The 25,460-nt window shown below is 40.6% G+C and overlaps 1 long non-coding RNA gene across 1 annotated transcript in view, besides 1 other annotated feature; it reads right to left on the reverse strand.

Moving 5' to 3' along the window:
• Nucleotides 1-25,460, reverse strand: part of LOC105378937 (uncharacterized) — a 30,521-nt gene that overhangs the window by 3,655 nt on the left and 1,406 nt on the right. Inside the window, exon 2 of the long non-coding RNA XR_947757.4 lies at nt 3,087-3,165. This is a non-coding gene — a long non-coding RNA (uncharacterized LOC105378937). The remainder of the gene's footprint in view (nt 1-3,086; nt 3,166-25,460) is intronic.
• Nucleotides 2,629-3,232: an enhancer, noted in NCBI's record as "OCT4-NANOG hESC enhancer chr1:120230232-120230835 (GRCh37/hg19 assembly coordinates)". NCBI's record gives its function as "activates a minimal SCP1, AML or CMV promoter by ChIP-STARR-seq in naive H9 embryonic stem cells {active_cell/tissue: H9 hESC(naive)}" and the evidence as "EXISTENCE:reporter gene assay evidence [ECO:0000049][PMID:30033119]".

Genomic DNA, 25,460 nt, shown 5'->3' on the forward strand with positions numbered 1-25,460 from the left:
GTTAAATAATGTGAGTTGAGCAAGGACAAATTAGTGGTCTTGATTGTGTGTTTTATTTTGGAGACATATATATTTGTTAAGGGAATTTTTGCTTCTGTAACCCCCCAAATTTCAAGAACACAAAACTCTAACCATTTATTTCTCAGCCATATACCAGTCCAGTATGGGTTTTTTTTATCAGCAATGTTGGGGAGAGCTCTGCCCCACACATTCATTAAGAGACCCAGGGGATTGGGGCACCACCATCATCAGCACATGGTTTTCAAGGTCTCTCTGGGCACCATAATCAGCCAGCAGATGAGTAGGAGAGACAGGGTTGTGTGAGGGTTTTTTTAAATTAAATTCACCCAATTTAATGGTACAGTTTGATTAACTTTTGCTAATTGTGTATAGTTGTATAACCACCATGAAAATAAAAATGTAGGCTTTATAACATCCTAAAAATTTCCTGTTGCCTTTTTACATCTGATCCCCTCTTACAAACCCCTAGCCCCAGGCAACTTTCTGTGAATACAGATAAACTTTGCCTGTTCTCTAATCTCGTACAAATGGAACACAACATGTATTTTGTGTTATGCTTCCTTTGTTCAGCATAATCCATGTTGATCATTATATTAGTTCTTCATTGATTTTTATTGCTGTGTAGTGTTTCATCGTATGGATACACAATGATTTGTTTATGCATTCACTGTTTTTTGACGTTTGGATAAGCCCCAGGTGTTAGCTATTATGAATAATGGTGCTATGATTTGCATATATGCCCTTTTGTGTGCATATACTTTAACTTCTCTCGTGTAAATATCTAGAAGTGGAATTACTGGGCCACATGACAAGTGGATGTTTAACTTTGTAAGATACGGCCCTACTATATACCAAAATTGCTGACCATCTTGCACTGTCACAAGCAATGTCTGGGACTTCTAGTTGCTCCAAATTTTGTCAATGCTTGGAATTGTCAGTGTTGTTAGTTTTAGCCATATCAATGGATGTGTAGTAGAATCTTATTTCTCATTTGCATGATCCTAACTAGTGAGGTGAGCATCTTTTCACATGTTTATTGGCTATTTGTATATTTTCCTTTATGACATGCCTTTTCAAATATTTTGCCCATTTCAAAAATAGGGTTGTTCATCTTATTATTGAGTTGTAAGAGTTCTTTAAATATTCTGGATATGAGCAAAGAGTATACTCGTCTCTATCTAGTACTTTCCAGTACATTAATTATTGCTTTTTGCCTTATGTCCAGATTTGATAAGTGTTTTGTATGAAGGAGTTGGTCTTGCAGAATCTTACTGTATCATTACAGAAATGTAAACTACAACAGAGGTTTTAAGAACCAGGACTAGAACTGGCCCTCATCAGTTCAGCTTACACCCTATTGGCTAGAATTTAGTCATGTGACAATACCTAACTCCAAGGAAGGGTAGAAAATGTGATCTATCTGTGCCCACAGGGTAGTGTGCCCTGGAGAAGAACAGGGTTAGTGATCAGCCAGCACTATCTGCTAAAAGGAACCTAGCAGGGCCTAGAAGGGCCTAGAAGGAACATGGAGTGGCAGAAGTTTTGTCCCAGGGACATGGTAACTATTTCTAGATCCCTTCCATGATAAACAATCATGCTGTACCTATCATATGCTAGACATTGAGCTATAATAACTGAGGCTAGCATTTATTGAGCACTTACTATGTGTCAAGCATATATAGACTCTATAAATGTTTACTGACTGTTGAATGGACCCGATTTCTTGGAGTGGTCTGGGGAAGACTACCCGCTATATGTGTTTAATGATACCTTCGGATTTTGCCAGCCCAGCAGAAGCAGGGTTGTGAGTAATGAGGCTGCTTGCCAAGCATGCCAGTTCCCCTGTGGGAAGAGATCACTGGAGAAACAGAGCATTATTAATGTCCTCCAAACTTCAACAAACCAGTTTTTCCACTCTCTGGGTGATTATTTATGGGTTTGGGTAAGATGCTAACTTGCAAGCTCTCTCTTTGTCTCTGCTCTGCTTCTACACCAAACTCATGACTATTTACAGCATTCCATTCTAGAGCTGTTCACAAACCAATGTTTCTGATTTTTTAGTGAATTTCCTGCTTCCCTACATTGTGCTGCCAGATTTATTGGTAATAGTTCTTTGAGTATTAAGTGGATTGAAAATGCTGCCTGTGTTATCATTTCTCTGTTGAAAGCAGCTAGACACAAAACATACATAATAACAGCTAGCCCTTGTTGGGCACTGTTGCACACAAATTGCCTTCACGTCTATTTGGTCTACCCCCTCACATGATTCATTTGAATGATCAGTGGTAGAGCTATTTCACTTGTTCACATGCTTATTAGAGTAATATGTTCAAAGTTAATTGATCTTTTTCCCCATCCTACTCTTGTTACAAAGGTAATTGACACTGAAATGGTCAAAAGACGTTCAGTAGGGATGGCCAGTAAGAGAAGTAGAAGGACCACACAATACAAATAGGATAAAAGGCTCCTCAATATGTAATAATCGAATGGCTGTAAACACATCCACACCTGGAATCTCTCTTACATATCATAGATAAAATCTCACCACCTTATTGTGCAATCTATTCCTTCATTACTGTACTTTTTTCCCCCTGATTCTGCATACTCCTCTGCACAGCTCCTCCTGACCTGGCTGATGTCCATTATCCTGTATTATTACTCATCACTACTCCCTTAGAACCTATACTCTGAAATTGCTAATCTTATTGCAGTTTCCTGGATATGTTATGGCTTGTCATGTATCGATCCTTTTAGGCATCCCATTCCCTCTGCACAAAGCATGATTTACTTACTAGATTGCTCCAGTGGTCCCTGGCATTGGAAGCTTCCACAGCCCTGCCTCCCAGCTAGCCAATCTGATTTCTGTTAGAGCATCTAGGAGCACCCTCCTCCAAAGCCCTTTTGACATTCTTTTGTGATAGTGTTATTTATTTACATGACTATGTGGCCCTCCTACTGTGAGCTCCTTAAGGATGTAGATTTTTTCTTATTTGCATAATTTCTGGAATATTTTAATTGAACAATTAGTGTGAATAAATAGTTAGATAAATGTTCATACCACACACCTCAACTCTTTCATTTCTTTGACTTGAATTCGAGGTACATTTTATAATCTTGTAGACATGGACGAAGCAAGAAGAGACACTGTAGCAAAGGAAAGATCAATAAATAAAATGACTGCAAGAAAAACAGGTTCAACGACAATGGTATAAAATAACAGAAAAAAAATGGTCATCTTTGAGTATGTTTGCCCTCTTTATATCAAGCATATACTTCTCAAACTTATTCAGAATAATAAATGATGAATGGGTGTGGAATTATGTCTCTTAGTCCTTATTACTGTATAATAATAACAAATAACAGTTGTTTAGGAACTATGTTTTCAAAGCATTGTCACATCCATTTTTTTTTCAGGACATGTTTACAACAACTCTGTTTTTCAGATGAAGACATTGAGACACATAGAGGAGAAGTAATTGATCAAAGATCATATAGCCACTGTGGCCTAACTGAATGGATAACATCTCAGTCTGTTAAGTCAGCATGGAGTCGAGTTGTTGGGATGATTTCTGTTTACTAGATTGCCAATTTATACTTTATCTGCCAATCTAATTTCCTTAGAGTCCCTGTTTGTCCCTGCAGAATAAAAAACATACTGCTTGCTGTATAAATTATACATTGTCTAATAACTGGTTATAGTTAGTTGAAGCAAGTTACTAATGAATATGTAATCTTGGATTTGATTCTAGAATTTACCTGTTAGCTTGTCTTTTCTTCCCCTATTAATAGCTTGAGCCCCCTGTCAATCTCTAAATTAAAAGCTTCTCCATAGCCTACTCTTTGAACCTAATCTCATTTCTTTCCTTTTTTCAACAGGCAGACTAGGGTCCTTCTCTTCACTTCCACCAACCTCCTATGCACATTGCTGCTTGCACACTTGTGCTCAGAACCCCCTGGACCAGTTCATCCTGCTTCACTGCCTGTTCTAGTCTATCCTTCTTAAGGCTCAGCTCATAAAGCCTTCCAGGAATGCTAGCCCCCAGTGATCTAGCCCTCCTCTGAGCTAACCAGCTGCATGTGGCCCATTCCACTTTGTTGATGCTTGATAATACTGATCATAGTAACACTGTGTCTTGTTCCAGTTTTTACATTATCAGCATTCTTTACAGTCCATGGCAATAAATGTTTGTCAAATGAAAGAATAGGTGTTGTGTTTTTATTTAAATCTTCTAATGCCAGACTCAGCTTGAATTATCAATGAGTAGTGTTTTAAGACCATCACAGATCTTGGGCTCTTGGACCTGTAATCCTTAATGGATGAAATGGCCCTGCTCTTGATTTGAAAGTGGACTCACTTTATTAGCATTCTAATTTTGATGGTGGAGTTGCACTCTCAGGACATATTCAGAACTTCCCACACTCTTCCCTAAATTTCCCTTTCCTTTTTATCTCTGATACTCGGAATAGAAGATAAGCTCCTTTGAGAGCAGAGCATGTACTTCATTTACTCTTAGATTCCCCCCCAACACTACCAATGTTGTACCAACTTTGTATAGAATAAGAATGTAATCAGTGTTTGTTAATTTAAATTAATGGCAGTGTTAAATGCAGCTGCAGTGGAGTGGGTTAAGATTGACCTTGGTGTCAAAAGCCCTGAACTCAAGTCCCAGCTCTACCACTTTCTGACTTTGGGCAAGTCATCATTGTATTTGCTCACATAGTTAGCATTACTGGGACTCTTCATTCCTTTGTGTGGATCTAGATCTCCATTTGGTATCATTTTACTTTGCTGAAAGGCTTCCTTTAAATTTTTTTTTAATAGTGAAAGTGTGCTGGTGATTAATTCCTTCAGCATTTGTAGTTTGAGAAAGTTATCTTTATTTTTGAAAGGTGTTTTTGCTGGTTATAGAATACTTGTTGATAGAGTTTCTTTTTTCCTTTTCAGTACTTTTAAGAATGTTAATCCACTTTCTACTGGCTTGCATTGATGAGAAATCTGCAATCATTCTTATCTTTATTCTTCTATATTTACCATGGTTTTTTGTTTGTTTGTTTTTGTTTTTTGTTTTTGTTTTTGTTTTTTTTTTTTGGTCGCTGGCTGCTTTTAAGATTTTTCCTTTGTCCCTATTTTAATTTTTGTTTGCTTTTTAGCAACTTTATTATGTGATCATTGGTGTCTTTTTTCCTATATTTTATGCTTGGGGTTTACTGAGATTCTGGATTTGTTGATTTACAATTTTCAACAAACTTGAAAAACTTTTGGCTATTGTTACTTCAAATTTTTTTCTCCTACTTTGTCCCCTGATCTCTTCTGGGGACTCGAATTGCATTGATATTAGGCCACTTGATATTTTCCAGCAACTCACTGATCCTCCGCTTATTTTTTCTTATCATTTTTTCGATGTGTTTCATTTTGGGTCATTTATATTGATAGATCTTCAAGTTCACCAGCCTTTTCTTCCATAATGTCTAATCTGCTGTTATCCCCATCCAGTGATTTTTCATCTTAGGCATTGTAGCTTCCATCTCTAGAAGTTTGATTTGAGTCTTTTATATATCCTTTCCTGTCTGTACTTAACATGTTCAATGTTTCTTTTTTTCTTTTCTTTTTCTTTTTTTTTTTTTTTTTGAGACAGAGTTCTGCTCTTCTTGCCCAGGCTGGAGTGCAGTGGCACGATCTTGGCTCACTGCAACCTCCGCCTCCCAGGTTCAAGCAATTCTCCAGCCTCAGCCTCCTGAGTAGCTGGGCTTACAGGCACCCACCACCACGCCCGGCTAATTTTTTGTATTTTTAGTAGAGACAGGGTTTTACCATGTTGGCTAGGCTGGTCTCCAACTCCTGACCTCAGGTGATCTGCCCGCCACGGCTTCCCAAGGTGCTGGGATTACAGGCGTGAGCCGCCATTCCCGGCCCAATATTCCTTTTGGTATTTTAAGTATATGAAATATGGTTATCGTAATAGTTTTTATGTTCTTGCCTACTAATTCTGTCATCTGTGTCAAGTTCTAGGTTGATTTCCACCTATTGATTTTTTTTCTCTTCATCATGGGTCACATGTTCCTGCTTCCTTGAATGTTTGGTAATTTTTATTATTATTACTATTATTATACTATAAGTTCTAGGGTACATGTGGTGCACAACGTGCAGGCTTGATACATAGGTATACATGTGCCGTGTTGGTTTGCTGCACCCATCAGCTAGTCATTTACATTAGGTATTTCTCCTAATTCTATCCCTCCCCCAGGCCCCCACCCCCCAACAGGCCCCGGTGTGTGATGTTCCCCACCCTGTGTCCAGGTGATCTCATTGTTGAATTCCCACCTATGAGTGAGAACATGTGGTGTTTGGTTTTCTGTCCTTGTGATAGTTTGCTGAGAATGATGGTTTCTAGCTTCATCCGTGTCCCTGCAAAGGACATAAACGCATCCTTTTTAATGGCTGCGTAGTATTCCATGGTGTATGTGCCACATTTTCTTAATCCAGTCTATCACTGATGGACATTTGGGTTTGTTCCAAGTCTTTGCTATTGTGAACAGTGCCCCAGTAGACATACGTGTGCATGTGTCTTTATAGTAGCATGATTTATAATCCTTTGGGTATATACCCAGTAATGGGATTGCTGGGTCAAATGGTATTTTTAGTTCTAGATCCTTGAGGGATCACCACACTGTCTTCCACAATGGTTGAACTAATTTATACTCCCACAAACAGTGTAAAAGTGGCCCTATTTCTCCACATCCTCTCCACCACCAGTTGTTTCCTGACTTTTTAATGATCGCCATTCTAACTGGCATGAAATGGTATCTCACTGTAATTTGGATTTGCATTTCTCTGATGGCCAGTGATGATGAGCATTTTTTCATGTGTCTGTTGGCCGCATAGATGTCTTCTTTTGAGGAGTGTCTGTTCATATCCTTTGTCTACTTTTTGATGGGGTGATTTGTTTTTTTCTTGTAAATTTGTTTGAGTTCTTTGTAGATTCTGGATATTAGCCCTTTGTCAGATGGGTAGATTGCAAAGATTTTCTCCCATTCTATAGGTTGCCTGTTCATTCTGATGGTAGTTTCTTTTGCCATGCAGAAGCTCTTTAGTTTATTTAGATCCCATTTGTCTATTTTGGCTTCTGTTGCCTTTGCTTTTGGTGTTTTAGTCATGAAGTCCTTGCCTATGCCTATGTCCTGAATGGTATTGCTTAGCTTTTCTTCTAGGGTTTTATGATTTTAGGCCTAACATTTATGTCTTTAATCCATATTGAATTAATTTTTGTATAAGGTATAAGGAAGGGATCCAGTTTCATCTTTCTGCATATGGCTAGCCAGTTTTCCCAGCACCATTTATTAAATAAGGCATCCTTTCCCTATTTCCTGTTTTTGTCATGTTTGTCAAAGATCAGATGGTTGTAGATGTGTGGTGTTATTTCTGAGGCCTCTGTTCTGTTCCATCGGTCTATATCTCTGTTTTGGTACCAGTACCATGCTGTTTTGGTTACTGTAGCCTTGTAGTATAGTTTGAAGTCAGGTAGAGTGATGCCTCCAGCTTTGTTCTTTTGGCTTAGGATTGTCTTGGCAATGCGGGCTCTTTTTTGGTTCCACAGAAACTTTAAAGTACTTTATTCCAATTCTGTGAAGAAAGTTATTGGTAGCTTGATGGGGATGGCATCGAATCTGTAAATTACCTTGGGCAGTATGGCCATTTTCACAATATTCATTCTTCCTATCCATGAGCATGGAACATTCTTCCATTTGTTTGTGTCCTCTTTCATTTCATTGAGCAGTGGTTTGTAGCTCTCCTTGAAGAGGTCCTTCCCATCCCTTGTAAGTTGGATTCCTAGGTATTTTATTCTCTCTGAAGCAATTGTGAATGGGAGTTCACTCATGATTTGGCTCTCTGTTTCTCTGTTATTGGTGTATAGGAATGCTTGTGATTTTTTTTTTTTTTTTTTTTTTTTTTGAGATGGAGTCTCACTCTGTCACCCAGGCTGGATGGAGTGCAGTAGTGTGATCTCGGTTCACTGCAAGCTCCGCCTCCCAGGTTCACACCATTCTCCTGCCTCAGCCTCCCAAGTAGCTGGGACTACAGGTGCCCACCACAACACCAAACTACTTTTTTTGTATTTTTTTTTAGTAGAGACGGGGTTTCACCGTGTTAACCAGGATGGTCTCAATCTCCTGACCTGGTGATCCGCCTGCCTTGGCCTCCCAAAGTGCTGGGATTACAGGCGTGAGCCACCGCGTCCAGCCTGGAATGCTTGTGATTTTGCACATTGATTTTGTATCCTGAGACTTTGCTGAAGTTGCTTATCAGCTTAAGTAGATTTGGGGCTGAGATGATGGGTTTTTCTAAATATACAATCATGTCATCTGCAAACAGGGACAATTTGACTTCCTCTTTTCCTAATTGAATACCTTTTATTTCTTTCCCTTGCCTGATTGCCCTGGCCAGAACTTCCAACACTATGTTGAATAGGAGTGGTGAGTGAGGGCATCCTTGTCTTGTGCTGGTTTTCAAAGGGAATGCTTCCAGCTTTTGCCCATTCAGTATGACATTGGCTGTGGGTTTGTCATAAATAGCTCTTATTATTTTGAGATACGTTCCATCAGTACCTAGTTTATTGAGAGCTTTTAGCATGAAGGCTGTTGAATTTTGTCAAAGGCCTTTTCTGCATCTATTGAGATAATCATGTGTTTTTTGTCATTGGTTCTGTTTATGTGATTGATTATGTTTACTGATTTGTGTATGTTGAACCAGCCTTGCATCCCAGGGATGAAGCCAACTTGATCATGGTGAGTAAGCTTTTTGATGTGCTGCTGGATTCGGTTTGCCAGTATTTTATTGAGGATTTTCACATCGATGTTCATCAGGGATATTGGTCTAAAATTCTCTTTTTTTTGTTGTGTCTCTGCCAGGCTTTGGTATCAGGATGATGCTGGCCTCATAAAATGAGTTAGGGAGGATTCCCTCTTTTTCTATTGATAGGAATGGTACCAGCTCCTCTTTGTACCTCTGATAGAATTCGGCTGTGAATCCATCAGGTCCTGGACTTTTTTTGATTGGTAGGCTATTAATTATTGCCTCAATTTCAGAGCCTGTTATTGGCCTATTCAGAGATTCAAATTCTTCCTGGTTTAGTCTTGGGAGGGTGTGTGTGTCCAGGAATTTATCCATTTCTTCTAGATTTTCTAGTTTATTTGTGTAGAGATGTTTATAGTATTCTCCGATGGTAGTTTGTATCTCTGTGGGATTGGTGGTGATATCCCCTTTATCATTTTTTATTGCATCTATTTGATTCTTCTGTCTTTTCTTCTGTATTAGTCTTGCTGGGAGTCTATTAATTTTGTTGATCCTTTCAAAAAACCAGCTCCTGGATTCGTTGATTTTTTGAAGGGTTTTTTGTGTCTCTTTCAGTTCTGCTCTGATCTTAGTTATTTCTTGCCTTCTGCTAGCTTTTGAATGTGTTTGCTCTTGCTTCTCTAGTTCTTTTAATTGTGATGTTAGGGTGTCAATTTTAGATCTTTTCTTCTTTCTCTTGTGGGCATTTAGTGCTATAAATTTCCCTCTACACACTGCTCGAAATGTGTCCCAGAGATTCTGGTACGTTGTGTCTTTGTTTTCATTGGTTTCAAAGAACATCTTTCTTCCTGCCTTCATTTCATTATTTACCCAGTAGTCATTCAGGAGCAGGTTGTTCAGTTTCCATGTAGTTGTGCAGTTTTGAGTGAGTTTCTTAATCCTGAGTTCTAATTTGATTGAGAGACAGTTTGTTGTGATTTCTGTTCTTTTACATTTGCTGAGGAGTGCTTTACTTCCAACTATGTGGTCAATTTTAGAATAAGTGCTATGTGGTGATGAGAAGAACGTATACTCTGTTGATTTGGAGTGTAGAGTTCTGTAGATGTCTATGAGGTCTACTTGGTGCAGAGCTGAGTTCAAGTCTTGGACCCTTGTTAACCTTCTGTCTCATTGATCTGTCTAATATTGACAGTGGGGTGTTAAAATCTCCCAGTATTATTGTGTGGGAGTCTAAGTCTCTTTGTAGGTCTCTAAGGACTTGCTTTATAAATCTGGGTGCTCCTGTATTGGGTACATATATATTTAGGACAGTTAGCTCTTCTTGTTGAATTGATCCCTTTACCATTATGTAATGGCTTTCTTTGTCTCTTTTGATCTTTGTTGGTTTAAAGTCTATTTTATCAGGCAGTAGGATTGTAACCCCTGCTTTTTTTTGCTTTCCATTTGCTTGGTAGATCCCTTTATTTTGAGCCTATGTGCGTCTTTACACGTGAGGTGGGTCTCCTGAATACAGCACACTGATGGATCTTGACTCTTTATCCAATTTGCCAGTCTGTGTCTTTTAATTGGAGCATTTAGCCCATTTACATTTAAGGTTAATATTGCTATGTGTGAATTTGACCCTGTCATTATGATGTTAAGCTGGTTATTTTGCCCAATAATTGATGCAGTTTCTTCTTAGCATCGATGGTCTTTACAATTTGGCCTGTTTTTGCCGTGGCTGGTACCAGTTGTTCCTTTCCATGTTTAGTGCTTCCTTCAGGAGCTCTTGTAAAGCAGGCCTGGTGGTGACAAAATCTCTCAGCATTTGCTTGTCTGTAGAGGATTTTATTTCTCCTTCACTTATGAAGCTTAGTTTGGCTGGATATGAAATACTGGGTTGAAAATTCTTTTCTTTAAGAATGTTGAATATTCGCCCCAATCTCTTCTGGCTTGTAGAGTTTCTGCAGAGAGATCTGCTGTTAGTCTGATGAGCTTCCCTTTGTGGGTAACCCAACCTTTCTCTCTGGCTGCCATTAACATTTTTTCCTTCATTTCAACCTTGTTGAATCTGACAATTATGTGTCTTGGGGTTGCTCTTCTCAAGGAGTATCTTTGTAGTGTTCTCTGTATTTCCTGAATTTGAATGTTGGCATGCCTTGCTAGGTTGAGGAAGTTCTCCTGGATAATATCCTGCAGTGTTTTCCAGGTTGGTTCCATTCTCCCTGTCACTTTCAGGTACACCAATCAAACGTAGATTTGGTCTTTTCACATAGTCCCATATTTCTTGGAGGCTTTGTTCATTTCTTTTTACTCTTTTTTCTCTAAACTTATCTTCTTGCTTCATTTCATTAATTTGATCTTCCGTCAGTGATACCCTTTCTTCCACTTGATCGAATCAGCTATTGAAGCTTGTGCATGTGCCATGAAGTTCTCGTGCCATGGTTTTCAGCTCCATCAGGTCATTTAAGGTCTTCTCTACACTGTTTATTCTAGTTAGCCATGCGTCTAACCTTTTTCCAAGGTTTTTAGCTTCCTTGCAATGGGTTAGAACATGCTTCTTTAGCTCAGAGAAGTTTGTTATTACCAACCTTCTGAAGCCTACTTCTGTCAACTTGTCAAAGTCATTCTCCATCCAGCTTTGTTCTGTTGCTGGTGAGGAGCTACGATCCTTTGGAGGAGAAGAGGTGCTCTGACCTTTAGAATTTTCAGCTTTTCCGCTCTGGTTTCTCCCCATCTTTGTGGTTTTATCTACCTTTGGTCTTTGATGATGGTGACCTACAGATGGGGTTTTGGTGTAGATGTCCTTTTTGTTGATGTTGATGCTATTCCTTTCTGTTAGTTAGTTTTCCTTCTAACAGTCAGACCCCTCAGCTGCAGGTCTGTTGGAGTTTGCTGGAGGTCCACTCCAGACCCTGTTTGCCTGGGTATCACCAGCAGATGCTGCAGAACAGCAAATATTATTGCCTAATCCTTCCTCTGGAAGCTTTGTCCCAGAGGGGCACCCTATTATATGAGGTGTCTGTCGGCCCCTACTGGGATGTGTCTCCCAGTTAGACTACACAAGGGTCAGGGACCCACTTGAGGAGGCAGTCTGTCCATTCTCAGAGTTCAAATGCCATGTTGGGAGAACCACTGCTGTCTTCAGAGCTGTTAGACAGGGACGTTTACATCTGCAGAAGTTGTCTGCTGCCTTTTGTTCAGCTAAGCCCTGCCCATAGAGGTGGACTCTAGAGGCAGTAGGCCTTGCTGAGCAACAGTGGACTCCACCCAGTTTGAGCTTCACGCAGCTTTGTTTACTTACTCAAGCCTCAGCAATGGCGGACACCCCTCCCGCAGCCAGGTTGCTGCCTTGCAGTAGGATCTCAGACTGCTGCACTAGCAGTGAGCAAGGCTCTGTGGGCATGGGACCTGTCCAGCCAGGCACAAGAGAGAATCTCCTTGTCTGCCAGTTGCTAAGACCTTGAGAAAAGTGCAGCATTTGGGTAGGAGTGTCCCGTTTTTCTAGGTACAATCTGTCACAGCTTCCCTTGGCTAGGAAAGGGAAATCCTCCTACCCCTTGTGCTTCCCGGGTGAGACGACACCCTGCCCTGCTTCAGCTGGCCCTCTGTGGGCTGCACCCACTGTCCCACCAGTCACAATGAGATGAGCCAGGTACCTCAGTTAGAAATGCAGAAATCACCCATCTTCTGGGTCTATCACACTGGGAGCTGCAGACCATTGCTGTTCTTGTTCTTCCATCTTGGAACCGCATGTTTGGTAATTTTTAAAATTGAATTCTATATATTGAGAATTTTATCTTGTTGCATGCTGGCTTTCATTGTATTTATACATATATTTCTATTCTCAAGTTGTTCTGGGACATAGTCAAGTTAATTGGGAACAGTTTGATCCTTTCAGGAATTTCTTTCAAGCTTTGTTAGACGGGAGGTAAGCCATGCTTAGTTTGGAGCTAATTTTTCCCTTTTACTGAGGCAAGGCCCAGTGGCCCATAAATTATGAGGGTTTCAGTTTTCAGTCTGGCTGGTGAGAATAGGAATGTTTCCTTGCCTGTGTGAGCTTTAGAGATTGCTCCCTCTAATACTTGCAGGTTTTTCCTTGGCCTCCAGTAGTGTCAACACATGCATGCTATGGTCAGTCTCAGCTGAAAACTCTAAGGGGTTCCTCTGCTGATCGCCAGAATTATCTCGATTTTTACCTCTCTTCCCTGCAGCATTCTCTATCACACAGCTTGATTTCTTTAAGTCAGGGAGACCAGTGGACTCCACCAGGTTTCCTCATTCCTGCCCTGTAGCCTGGAAACTCTCTCTGTACAGTAAGCTGGGGCAATCATAGGATTTACCCTGTGTATTTCTTGTGTCTCAGACATCTCTGTCTTTTGTCACCGAATGACAATTGCTTTATGCATTTTGTCCATTGTTTTAGTTGTTTCAGGTAGGAGGGTAAACCTGGACTCTGTTACTCTATTTGGCTGGAAGTAGAAGTCCTATGCAGCTTCTTTGTGCCTCAATTTTCTCATTTTGGAAATAGTGCTCTTAATATCAGTCTGTTCTACATTACCAATTTATTGTTATTTTATGAAATATATAATTCATACATAAATATAAGATCTTATTTGAATAGATGAAACGTGCATACAAATAACTGTGAGAGAAGTTATATTAAAATTATATCAGTCATTTGTACTTTAGTGAGCATGTGTTACTAAGATCTTTTACTAAAACAGATTCAAAGTTGATAGTAGAATTGCAGGTAGCTACCCATTTTTGCCCCAGGCCTTCTCACTCCCCAAAATACAAGTAAGAGATTAGGGATCCAATACAGAAGAATGAGTCTAGATGATAGTAGGTTAGTCAAGGAATTATTCCAGATTGCCCTAAAATGTAATGTTAAATGTTTTATCAAAAGTCACTGAATAGGCTCTGGAGCCTGGTTAGAAAAGGATGCTGCCTCTTTGAGGACATGAAGGCTTGGAAAGAGGGCAACTGCGGCCTGAAAGTATGAGAAGGCAACCTAAAAAGAGAGAAGAGTAATTCCAAGATCAGGATAAGGAATGGAGAGGAGAGTTTGCTGTCTGGAAAAGCAATAAAACTAGAAGAACTTGGAAAAGATGAAAGATTAATGCCTCCAGTACAATCAACGCAAACAATAAATGGGGACTTTGAATTTATAACTAATTTCATCCATATATATAATATTTGTGTATATATATATATATGTTTGTATTCTGAAATCTCATGTGTACTGAGCTATAGAAGTATCTTGGACTTGATATGTGTTGAGGAAGCCTGACTTTAGAGCCTGGAATTTTTGGGGGTGCGGGGGTGGGATGGTAAAGATTTGCAGGAAAGTACCTTTTGCAGCAAGTACCTCTGCTCTCCATAGGTCTTTCTGATTCATCTTGAGGAATGACAGAAATGGAATGGGAAGAAACTTTCTACCTAGTGTCTTCTTAGAGATGCTCATTTTGTCTTGAACTCCACTTTCTATGTGCATGGCAATTATCAAAGGAGTGACAGTGCCAGGGCCTTCTTCCAACCCAGTCCTGCCTAAGATCCTAGTGGCATCAAGGGATCAAAATGCATCTTCTCTATGCATTGATGACAATGATTGAATCTTCAATGCTGTGACAGAGGACTACACCTCAAACTACAGAAGATCCTTGCATTTGGATGTAACATCCACGTTCTTACATTATATTAACAGTGAAAGTCTGAATTTCCTGGTTCTTGCCCCACTTGCCTACATAGCTGAGTTTGCCTCCTTTCTGCTTCTCTGCTGATGGTCACTGTGATGATACAACAATCTCTGTCAGTGACACAGTCACCAGTCCTGGAGGTACTAGAATGACAGTCTGTGCATACCTGTGCATACCCTCCTCTCTGGACTCTGGCCACATTGGCCTTCTTTCAGTTTCATGAACATTCCATGATCACTTCCCATTCTCCCACCCCAAAGGATCTGCACTTGCACTGTTTCCTCCTGCCTGGAGCACTCTTTCCCCCTTTGTGTCTCTTCCCCACGAAAGGTTCAGAGGGCTAGTTAATATCTCAGCTTTCTTCAGATATCATCTGGATCTTCATTCCCTCAAAGAAACCTTGATTCTCTTCTTCCTCCTTCTTCCACAAGTCTTGATTAAGTCCTTTTGTTAAAAACTCTCAAAGAACCAATTCTGCAGTACATTTATCCTAGGTTATAAATATATTCTCATTTGTGTGATTATTTGATTAATTTCACTTTAGTCTATCTCTCAGGCTCATTCGCATTCTACCAGTTAATTTCTGTCTCCTGAGTCCATTCATTCTCTCTAATAATCATTTACTATACCTCAAAAGAATTGCCTACATTCTCCATCTCTTCCCATTAGGTTATTGGATAATAATTTTCCTGCTTTTTCACTGTGTGTATGCATGTTAATAAGATTGCATGCCTTTTTTCCCTGTTGCTCTGTCTATTGTCAATTAACTTCAACAGAATCAGACTTGAACCTTCAGAGGGAAAATCTGAACTTCCCTCCAGTGGAAAGAAGGAATGGAAGAGTGGAGTACAATGCATTCCCTCACCTCTCTCCTCTCTACTACATAGGTACACCTAAGCAGCATTCCCTATGCCTCAGGGACACCTCCTTAAATAGCTCTTTCAAATTTTTTTGCCTATAGTGCCAAACTCCAAAGACTAAAAATCCAGCCGCTTGAGCTGGCTTGGGGATAGGATACATTTTCTATCTTGCTCAACTTTGGCCTCAGGCATCCTTAATCAGTTAATCATTCCAGGAAATAGATACTTGATGATATGGTTTGGCTCTGTGTCCCCACCCAAATCTCGTTTCAAATTGCAATGCCCATGTGTTGGAGGAGGGGCCTGGTGGGAGGTAATTGAATCATGGGGGTGGACTTACCCCTTGCTGTTCTCATGATAGTGAATTAGTTTTCATGAGATCTGGTTGTTTAAAAGTGTGTAGTGCTTTCTTCTTCATTCTGTCTCTCTCCTGACATCATGTGAAGGTGTTTCACCCTTTCACCTTCCACCATGATTGTAAGTTTCCTGAGGCTTCCCAGTCATGCTTCCTGTTAAGCATAACTATGAGTCAATTAACCCTCTTTTCCTCATAAATCATCCAGTCTCAGGTAGTTCTTTATAGTAGTGTGAAAGTGGACTATTACAGTAAATTGGTACCAGGAGTGGGACACTGCTATAAAGATACCTGAAAATGTGGAAGAGACTTTGGAACTTGGTAAGAGGCAGAGGTTGGAACAGTTTGGAGGGCTCAAAAAAAGACAAGAAGATGTGGGAAAGTTTGGAACTTCCTAGAGACTTGTTGAATAATTTTGACCAAAATGCTGATAGTAATATGGATAATGAAGTCCAGGCTGAGGTGGTCTCAGATGGAGATGAGGACCTTGTTAGGAATTGGAATAAAGGTGACCCTTGCTATGTTTTAGCAAAGAGACTGCCCCTGCCCTAGAGATCTGTGGAATTTTGAACTTAAGAGAAAAGATTTAGGGCGTCTGGTGGAAGAAATTTCTAAGCATTCAAGAGGTGACTTGACTGCTGTTAAAAGCATTCAGTTTTATGTATTCACAAAGATATGGTTTGGAATTGGAACTTATATTTAAAAGGGAAACAGAGCATAAAAGTTCCAAAAATTTGCAGCCCGACAATGTGATAGAAAAGAAAAACCAATTTTCTGAGGAGAAATTCAAGCTGGCTGCAGAAATTTTGTAAGTAATGAGGAACCAAATGTTAATTGCCAAAACAATGGAAAAAATGTCTCCAGGGCATGTCAGAGGTCTTCACAGCAGCCCCTCCCATCACAGAACCAAAGGCCTAGGACACAGGGCACCAGGGCCTTTCTACTTTGTGTGGTCTTGGGGCTTGGTGCCCTGTGTCCCAGCTGTGGCTAAAAGGGACCAAGTTACATCTCAGGCCATGACTTCAGAGGGTGCAAGCCCCAAACTTTGGCAGCTACCACAAGGTGTTGGGTCTGCAGGTACACAGATGTCAAGAGTTGAGGTTTAGGAATCTCCACCTAGATTTCAGAGGATGTATGGTAATGCCTGGATGTCCAGGCAGAAGTTTGCTGCAAAGGCAGAGCCCTCCTGGAGAACCTCTGCTAGAGCAGTGCAGAAGGGAAATGTGGGGTTGGACCTTCCACACAGAGTCCCCACTGGGCACTGCCTAGTGAAGCTTTGAGAAGCAGGCCATTGTCCTCCAGAACCCAGAATGGTGGATCCAACAACAGCTTGCACCATGCTCCTGGAAAAGCCACAGACACTCAATGACAGCCTGTGCAAACTGCTGCCAGGGCTGTATCCTGCAGAGCAACAGGTGTAGAGCTGCCTAAGGCCTTGGGAGCCCACCCCTTGTATCATTGTGGCCTAGATGTGAGACGTGAAGTCAAAGGAGATCATTTTGATGCTTTAAGATTTAATGACTGTCCTGCTGGATTTTGGATTTGCAGGTGGCCTGTAGCCACTTTGTTTTGTCCAATTTCTCCCATTTAGAATGGGAGCATTTATGCAATGCCTGTACCCTCATTGTATCTTGAAAGTAACTAACTTGTTTTTGATTTTACAGGCTCATAAGCAGAAGGGACTTGCCTTGTCTCAGATGAGACTTTGGACTTGGATTTTTGAATTAATGCTGGAATGAGTTAAGACTTTGGGGGACTGTTGGGAAGGCATGATTGTATTTTGAAATGTGAGAAGGACATGAGATTTGGGAGCGGCTAGGGGCAGGATGATATGGTTTGGCTTTGTGCCCCGACCAACATCTCATGTTGATGTGTAATCCCCATGTGTTGGAGGAGTGGCCTGGTGGGAGATGACTGAATCATGGGAGTGGACTTCCTCTTTGCTATTCTCATGACAGTGAATGACTTCTCACAAAAGCTGGTTGTTTAAAAGTGTGTAGCACTTTCCCCTTCACTCTCTCTGTCTCCCTCCTGCCACCATGTTAAGAAGGTGTTTCTAATTGTGTTGTAGTCCTTTGAATCTTTCAAAATATAATCTAAAGTCCTTCAATCTCTAAACTATTATATTAAGTTTAGAAACAGCAACACAAAAAGGCTTGAATGTCATATTAATGACAGATAGAAATCAAGGATTTGTGTTGCCTGTTGTGCATTTACTAACTGGGTGCCAGATGTAAACAGAATTGACTCTTCCCCTCCCTGCTCCCTTTATCTTGCAGCATGTGGATTACCATACCCTCCCTTTTTCCCCTCCAGTCCACTTTTCCCCGCTAAATATCAAAGCCCTCAAAATCATCTTGGGAGAAAGGCACAAAGTACAGACTGTTTCTCCGTTTCCAGGTTCTTGTCTTCCAGGCATGTCCTTAACCTTGGCAAAATAAGCTTCCAAATTGATTGAGAACTGTCTCAGATAGTTTTTGGTTTACATACTTCTAGGCCTATTTTGCATCTGTTACAATGCCTAAACCATATAACATATGGAATTCCAATAAAAGGTTCATGGGATCCTAGGAGGCCCATGAGCAGGTTTCAGGAGGTATATGTATCCTCAAAACTGAATACACAGCTTAGAAGTTCAGAGGGTTTGTAGCTTTCATTAGATTCTTGTTGGATTCAGTGACCATAGCAGGTTTTGAGGCACAATGGTTGAAGGGAAGAACTTCAACTTGAGATGAGAAAGCTCTCTGATTATGAGACTTCCAAGGCAACAGCTCAGATCAATAAATTTAAGAATGTGATTCTATCAGAGCCCTTCGTGTTGAGCAGAGTTTCAGACCAACTCACATGATATTAGTATACACACCAAAACAGCCACCATGTTCAGTGGTGTGAGGGTGGAGCTTGCCCATCTAGTGACCACGCACCAGTTTCCCTCTCCTGTACTGCCTGGCTGGGGTGCCTGAGCAGCATTTCCCTGCAGACAGGGAGCCCTTAAACCATTTTGTAGCCTTGCCTGTTTTCTCCTTTTGCCACAAGACTTAAAGACAATGGTAACTGGTGGGAAACAGATCACCCAGCAGCTCTTTACTGGCATCAGGATATCTGGAAAACAACCACTCAGAAGCGTGGCAAAGAAAGGGAGTTGTAGAATCAGGAGGCATGTTTTTGTACAGACTATGATAACATCTGATGAATTCCCTCTGTACCACATCAAAGTAGAACTCACTAATGACCACAAGACCCCTGTCTGCCACACGCACGATCTTCCTTTCTTTCTCTTGGAACAGTGCTGAGTAAAAGCCAAGACTTTCCTTGGCTCATTTTTGTTGAATATGCCAACCAGCCCTTTCTATTAATATATTCTTTCCGAAGAAAAAAATTATAATTCATTATGTTACAGGATTTTTTAATGTTCAATTATATTTTTATGAAATAGTCTCTTTTGTTCTGGTGTCTCCTCAAACCCTTTTTCGGCATCTGCCTTCTCTCAGGATAGGTGACTTTCTTGGATGGTTAACTTCCTTCATGATTCATTGATTCTTAGTTTTCACTATCAGAGAGTTGCCTTTTCAAGTTATAGGTGTGTCTTATCCTGTCTTTTCATGTGCCCCACAAGGGAATCACCTCCCTGCTCACCATGATCATCGTCATTGTGATAATGAAAACATGAAAACACTGTGAAATGTAGCTTCTGTGTTAAGGTAGAGTGCTCTGTAAAAAAACTTAGTATTAGTCCCCTCCTTATAATTAACCCATCAATTGTTTCTCATCTACTTAGAATTAAATCTAAACTTCTTCACCATGGTGGAGTAGTCAATGTTGGTGTTCCTTGCCTGTCCTCCAATCCCCATTTCCCTTCTTTCAGCTTCCTGAATTTTCCTCTGGGGACCCACTTTTCTTACAATTTTAGTGTATACTTCAGATAGATGAATTCTTTCCTCAGATCTGAAGTGGTTGCTTTATTCAGGACTGACAAATCTGCATATTCATCCTCCTGGGCACTGTGACTAATCCAAGGACAGATATGTGGCCCAGGGGGATCTGATAAGGATAAGGTCTGGACATTTTGTGGCAATTATTAGAAAACCAGTGCAACACGGTGAAACCCCGTCTCTACTAAAAATACAAAAATTAGCCGGGCATGGTGGCGCGCGCCTGTAGTCCCAGCTACACGGGAGGCTGAGGCAGGAGAATGGCGTGAACCCGGGAGGCGGAGCTTGCAGTGAGTCGAGATCGCGCCACTGCACTCCAGCCTGGGCGACAGAGCGAAACTCCGTCTCAAAAAAAAAAAAAAAAAAAGAAAACCAGTGCAATCTTTTAGGATTGCTAAACTGCTAGACTATGTGGCTGAATTTTATATTCTTTACTAACTTGTGACATTCTTGCCACATTTTGCCTTTCTGGAAATGAAGCAAGCCAGAGGAAAACAGACAGGTGAGAGAGACATGGATTGCCAGTGACACTATCTGAGCAAGTTTTTGTCCACACTTGATCTTTTTGGACAACTGAGCCAATACATTCCCTTTTTTCCTTGAACCAGTTTACACTGGGTTTCTGATACTTGCATCTCCCAAAGTCGAGACTATTCCCATGGTCTCAATGCTGTGGCCCCTGCTGATGTCTCCCACCTTGTCTTCTGCCATGTTCACCCACATTCTCTATATCATTGCTGTTCTGACCTTCTGTCAGTTCCTAGAAAAATCCATGTACTTTCCTACCCAAGGGACTTTGTTTTTATTATTCTCTTTCCTCTAAATGGTCTTCACTGGCTGTCTTCACCTTCAGATCTCTGCCTAAGTGTTACCGTCTCTGAGGCTTTTCTGACACAGACTACACACATAGCACATACATGCTCACACACTAGACTGCAAGTTCCCTATGGGCAGGTAATTTATAGATTCAATGCCATCCCCATCAAGTTACCAATGACTTTCTTCACAGAATTGGGAAAAAGTACTTTAAAGTTCATATGGAACCAAAAAAGAGCCCGCATTGCCAAGTCAATGCTAAGCCAAAAGAACAAAGCTGGAGGCATCACACTACCTGACTTCAAACTATGCTACAAGGCTACAGTAACCAAAACAGCATGGTACTGGTACCAAAACAGAGATATAGAGCAATGGAACAGAACAGGGCCCTCAGAAATAATGCCGCATATCTACAACTATCTGATCTTTGACAAACCTGACAAAAACAAGCAATGGGGAAAGGATTCCCTATTTAATAAATGGTGCTGGGAAAACTGGCTAGCCATATGTAGAAAGCTGAAACTGGATCCCTTCCTTACACCTTATACAAAAATTAATTCAAGATGGATTAAAGACTTAAACGTTAGACCTAAAACCATAAAAACCCGAGAGAAAACCTAGGCAATACCATTCAGGACATAGGCATGGGCAAGGACTTCCTGTCTAAAACACCAAAAGCAATGGCAACAAAAGCCAAAATTGACAAATGGGATCTAATGAAACTAAAGAGCTTCTGCACAGCAAAATAAACTACCATCAGAGTGAACAGGCAACCTACAGACTGGGAGAAAATTTTTGCAATCTACTCATCTGACAAAGGGCTAATATCTAGAATCTACAATGAACTCAAACAAATTTACAAGAAAAAAACAAACAAACCCATCAAAAAGTGGGCAAAGGATATGAACAGACACTTCTCAAAAGAAGACATTTATGCAGCCAAAAGACACATGAAAAAATGCTCATCATCACTGGCCATCAGAGAAATGCAAATCAAAAGCACAATGAGATACCATCTCACACCAGTTAGAATGGCGATCATTAAAAAGTCAGGACACAACAGGTGCTGGAGAGGATGTGGAGAAATAGGAACACTTTTACACTGTTGGTGGGACTGTAAACTAGTTCAACCATTGTGGAAGTCAGTGTGGCGATTCCTCAAGGATCTAGAACTAGAAATACCATTTGACCCAGCCATCCCATTACTGGATATACCCAAAGGATTATAAATCATGCTGCTATAAAGACACATGCACACGTATGTTTATTGCGGCACTATTCACAATAGCAAAGACTTGGAACCAACCCAAATGTCCAACAATGACAGCTGGATTAAGAAAATGTGGCACATATACACCATGGAATACTATGCAGCCATAAAAAATGATGAGTTCATGTCCTTTGTAGGGACATGGATGAAATTGGAAATCATCATTCTCAGTAAACTATCGCAAGGACAAAAAAACCAAACACCGCATGTTCCCACTCATAGGTGGGAATTGAACAATGAGAACACATGGACACAGGAAGGGGAACATCGCACACCGGGACCTTTTGTGGGGTGGGGGGAGGTGGGGAGGGATAGCATTAGGAGATATACCTAATGTTAAATGACGAGTTAATGGGTGCAGCACACCAGCATGGCACATGTATACATATGTAACAAACCTGCACGTTGTGCACATGTACCATAAAACTTAAAATATAATAAAAAAAATAATAAATAAATAAATAAGTACTGAAGGATGGGGCTGCCTTGCCCTCCCCAGCAAAAAAAAAAAAAAAAAAAAAAAAGTTAATTCTTCCGTGATTTTTGTGCCGTTTATGTTTTTAGCTTTTACATTTCACATGTAAATTATTTGAAATTTGTCTTGGCATAAAATTCAGATTTGACTTTATTTTCTAGATGACTGTCCACTTGTTCAAACAATATTTATTGAATGATTCTCTATGGAGTGTATTTATGGTAATAGCCAAATGTAAGGAATTGTCGACGGGGAGAAAAGTGAAGTTTAATCAAGATTGTCAGTGAAGATATGCTTGGCTAAGCCATTTCTTTTTGTCCTCTTCTCCCTCCTTTCCTTTCTTCTGCTTTCTTCCCCTCTCATTCTCTTCTGTTCTTTGTTTTTCTCTTTTTGTCGTATTCATATGTAACTTGATTCATTCTCTTTGGGGATAGAAACATTTTTAAATTTTCTTACGAATTAAAAAATTCTTTAAATTTGTAAAAAAAAAAAAAGTTCCCTCTGAGTAGGGACTACATGTGACTTGTTCAGCATTGTTATTCCAGTGCCTGGCACATAGTCAGTACTATAGAAATATTTGGGCAGGTTTCTTGAATGTGCCACACTTGTTCTGTTTTTCCTTCTGCCTCGAATTCTCTTTTTCTTTAATTCTTTGCATAGCCAGTTTCTTCTTATTTCAGTCTCAACCCAAGCTCCACCTTTTCAGGAAGGCCTTTCCTCATCATAAAGTCTATGATTCCTCTCCCCTAACCTGTCTTTCACATCATCTGGTTTTACATTATTTATTATATATGCCCTGAGATTATCCAGTTCAATTTTTTGTTTATTTATTTATTTTCTATCCTCAAACGCAATGTAAGCTCCATGAGAGCAGAGACGGTCTTAATCAAAGCTTCATTTCCAACCCCCTCAGCAGTGCCTGACACATTACAGTTTCAATAAATATACACTGATTGAGTGGATGAATGAAGGAAAGTCAAGCACTAGAGATTACACTCACTTGTATGCTTTGCCTTATTTAATCCCTACAAAAGCCTTATGAAGTAAGCACTATCATACTATTCATTCCATATTACATAGGAGAAAACTAAGTCTTAGGGGGGCAATGTAATTTGCCCAAAATCACATTGTTCATAACTTGAGAAGCTGAAATTCAAATCAAGATATGCCTGTTTTACGGATGACAGTTCATTTTCTGCATCTTAAAATATCATTTTATTTCTTTTTTTATTATACTTTAAGTTCTAGGGTACATGTGCACGACATGCAGGTTTGTTACATATTTTATTTCTTATGATTCGAGTTTGGATATCACAGCTGGTCTCCAAGCAGAAAAAGAGAGTTCCTACTCTCCTCCCCTTAACCCCATTAACTTTATCCTCAGAGTTACAGGCGGAACAGCTGGACATCTTGCAACCTTAGGTAGGGGTAGGTCTTGCCTTGACAGATTCACTACACACAAGGAAGCAGGAGTGTGTACATTATTTTAGGCTTCCAGCTTCGAAAGAGAGAGCCAAAAGGGGCTGGCCTGGGCACGCACTAGGACCTTTTCCCCAAACTTCACTAATCAGAGTGGTTTTCTCTTCTGAAGGGGTTGGGGCCAGAGGAAGGGAGAGAAGGAGGGGTCTGAGGAGAAGGGCAGAACTGTTTTCCTACTACTTCCAAGCTGGCCAAAGTTCCTGTTTTATGGATGGATGCAATAACACAGGGAGAGGGAGAAATTTCCCCAACTCCAACCCTCAGTTATCAAAGAAAAACCCTTAGTTTGCAATTGATGTTGGAGATTCTGGGGTGTAGTGGTGAGGGATATATCTGTATTGGCAGTATCAGGTCTCAGCCCGACCAGCAACACATTTGATGATATCGCTTCTAAAAATCACTCGGTACCTCTGTACTAACTTTGGAGTCAAGTTTAAACTCCTCCTCAGGGCAAGACACTTCATGAGCAGCCCCTGGCCCCTCTGCAGTCTCACCTCCTGGTATCCCACTGGCATCCCCCACAGCCATGGTAGAGAAGCCATGAACATGTTGCAACTCCTCACAACTCTAAGCCTTTGGAAATGTCATTTCTTCTCCCCCGGCTAATTCATATTCAGCTCTCAAGATTAGGCAGTTAACCATGAGCAGCTTCAAGGCAGGTTATGTTTTACCTATCTCTGTATCCTTGAGCCTCTCAAAGTAGCTGCCTTGAATGAGTTTCAAAAGGTTAGCTGAAAGGCAACCTTGCTTGGAAATCCTCCTGGCACCTCAGGAGATGGTTCTCCTCCTTGCTCCCAAAGCCCTCCAGCACACCTTTATTTATAATTCTTAAACTATACCTTTTTAATTTTTTTTATTATTTTTTAGAGACAGGTCTCACTCTGTTGCCCAGGTTGGAGTGCAGTGGCACAATCATGGTTCACTGCAGCCTCGAACTCCTGGGCTCAAGCAATCCTCCTGCCTCAGCCTCCCAAGTAGATAGGACTACAGCAATGTGCCACCATGCCGGGGTACTCTTCTTAAAATGTTGTTCTTTTTTCTTTTTGAGGAAAGAAGGCTGTGTCTTATGTGTCACAGGGCCTAGCCCATAGGAGGTACTGGATAAATTAATTTTTGAATCAAACCTCTTCTGAGCCTCTGTGATGTGGAAGGCATGGTGCTAGGCACTACTGGGGGTATACAAAATCGTGTCTCTGATTTAAGGAAATGAGAGTTCATGGGGAACAAGACATGAAAAGTTCATAAATATATTGCTTAAGGCACTGTGAGATAACTTGAAGTTAATTCTATAGAAATTTAAAAGGAGGGAACATTTCTGACTTATGTAACAATTATCACACACCCTCCTTTTCACTTGGAAATGGACTCTTAATCTGTTAATTATTTTCTTAACGGTTTAGAAGTGTCTTTTATTGTGTGGCTTGGATCTGTTTAAAAAGTAGGTGGGTCATAAATAATAAATAAAGAAAACAGGTGATCAGGCTTAGGAGGCCCTCTGGGTTGTGCGTTCAGACAGTATCCAAGAAGTTTGACTTGGTGTGAAAGGGTGGGATTACATGTTAATGATAGCAGGGTTTAGATTCTACACTGAAAGGAAGCAGTTAGTGAGCCCTGGGAGGAGTTGAAGGAAAGCAGTTACAAAAATGGATGCTTCCCAAGACCCTCCATTAAGCCTCCTGGGATAGGTCCCCTGTCTGTCCCTAGACTCCAGGGTACTGCTGGGCACTTCAAGAGAGACAGAGAATTTGAATACTCATGAGTCTTGGAATGTAGGAATAACAAT

The sequence above is a fragment of the Homo sapiens genome, chromosome 1 (assembly GCF_000001405.40).
Source record: "Homo sapiens chromosome 1, GRCh38.p14 Primary Assembly".
In the NCBI taxonomy this organism is placed as follows: Eukaryota; Metazoa; Chordata; class Mammalia; order Primates; family Hominidae; genus Homo; species Homo sapiens.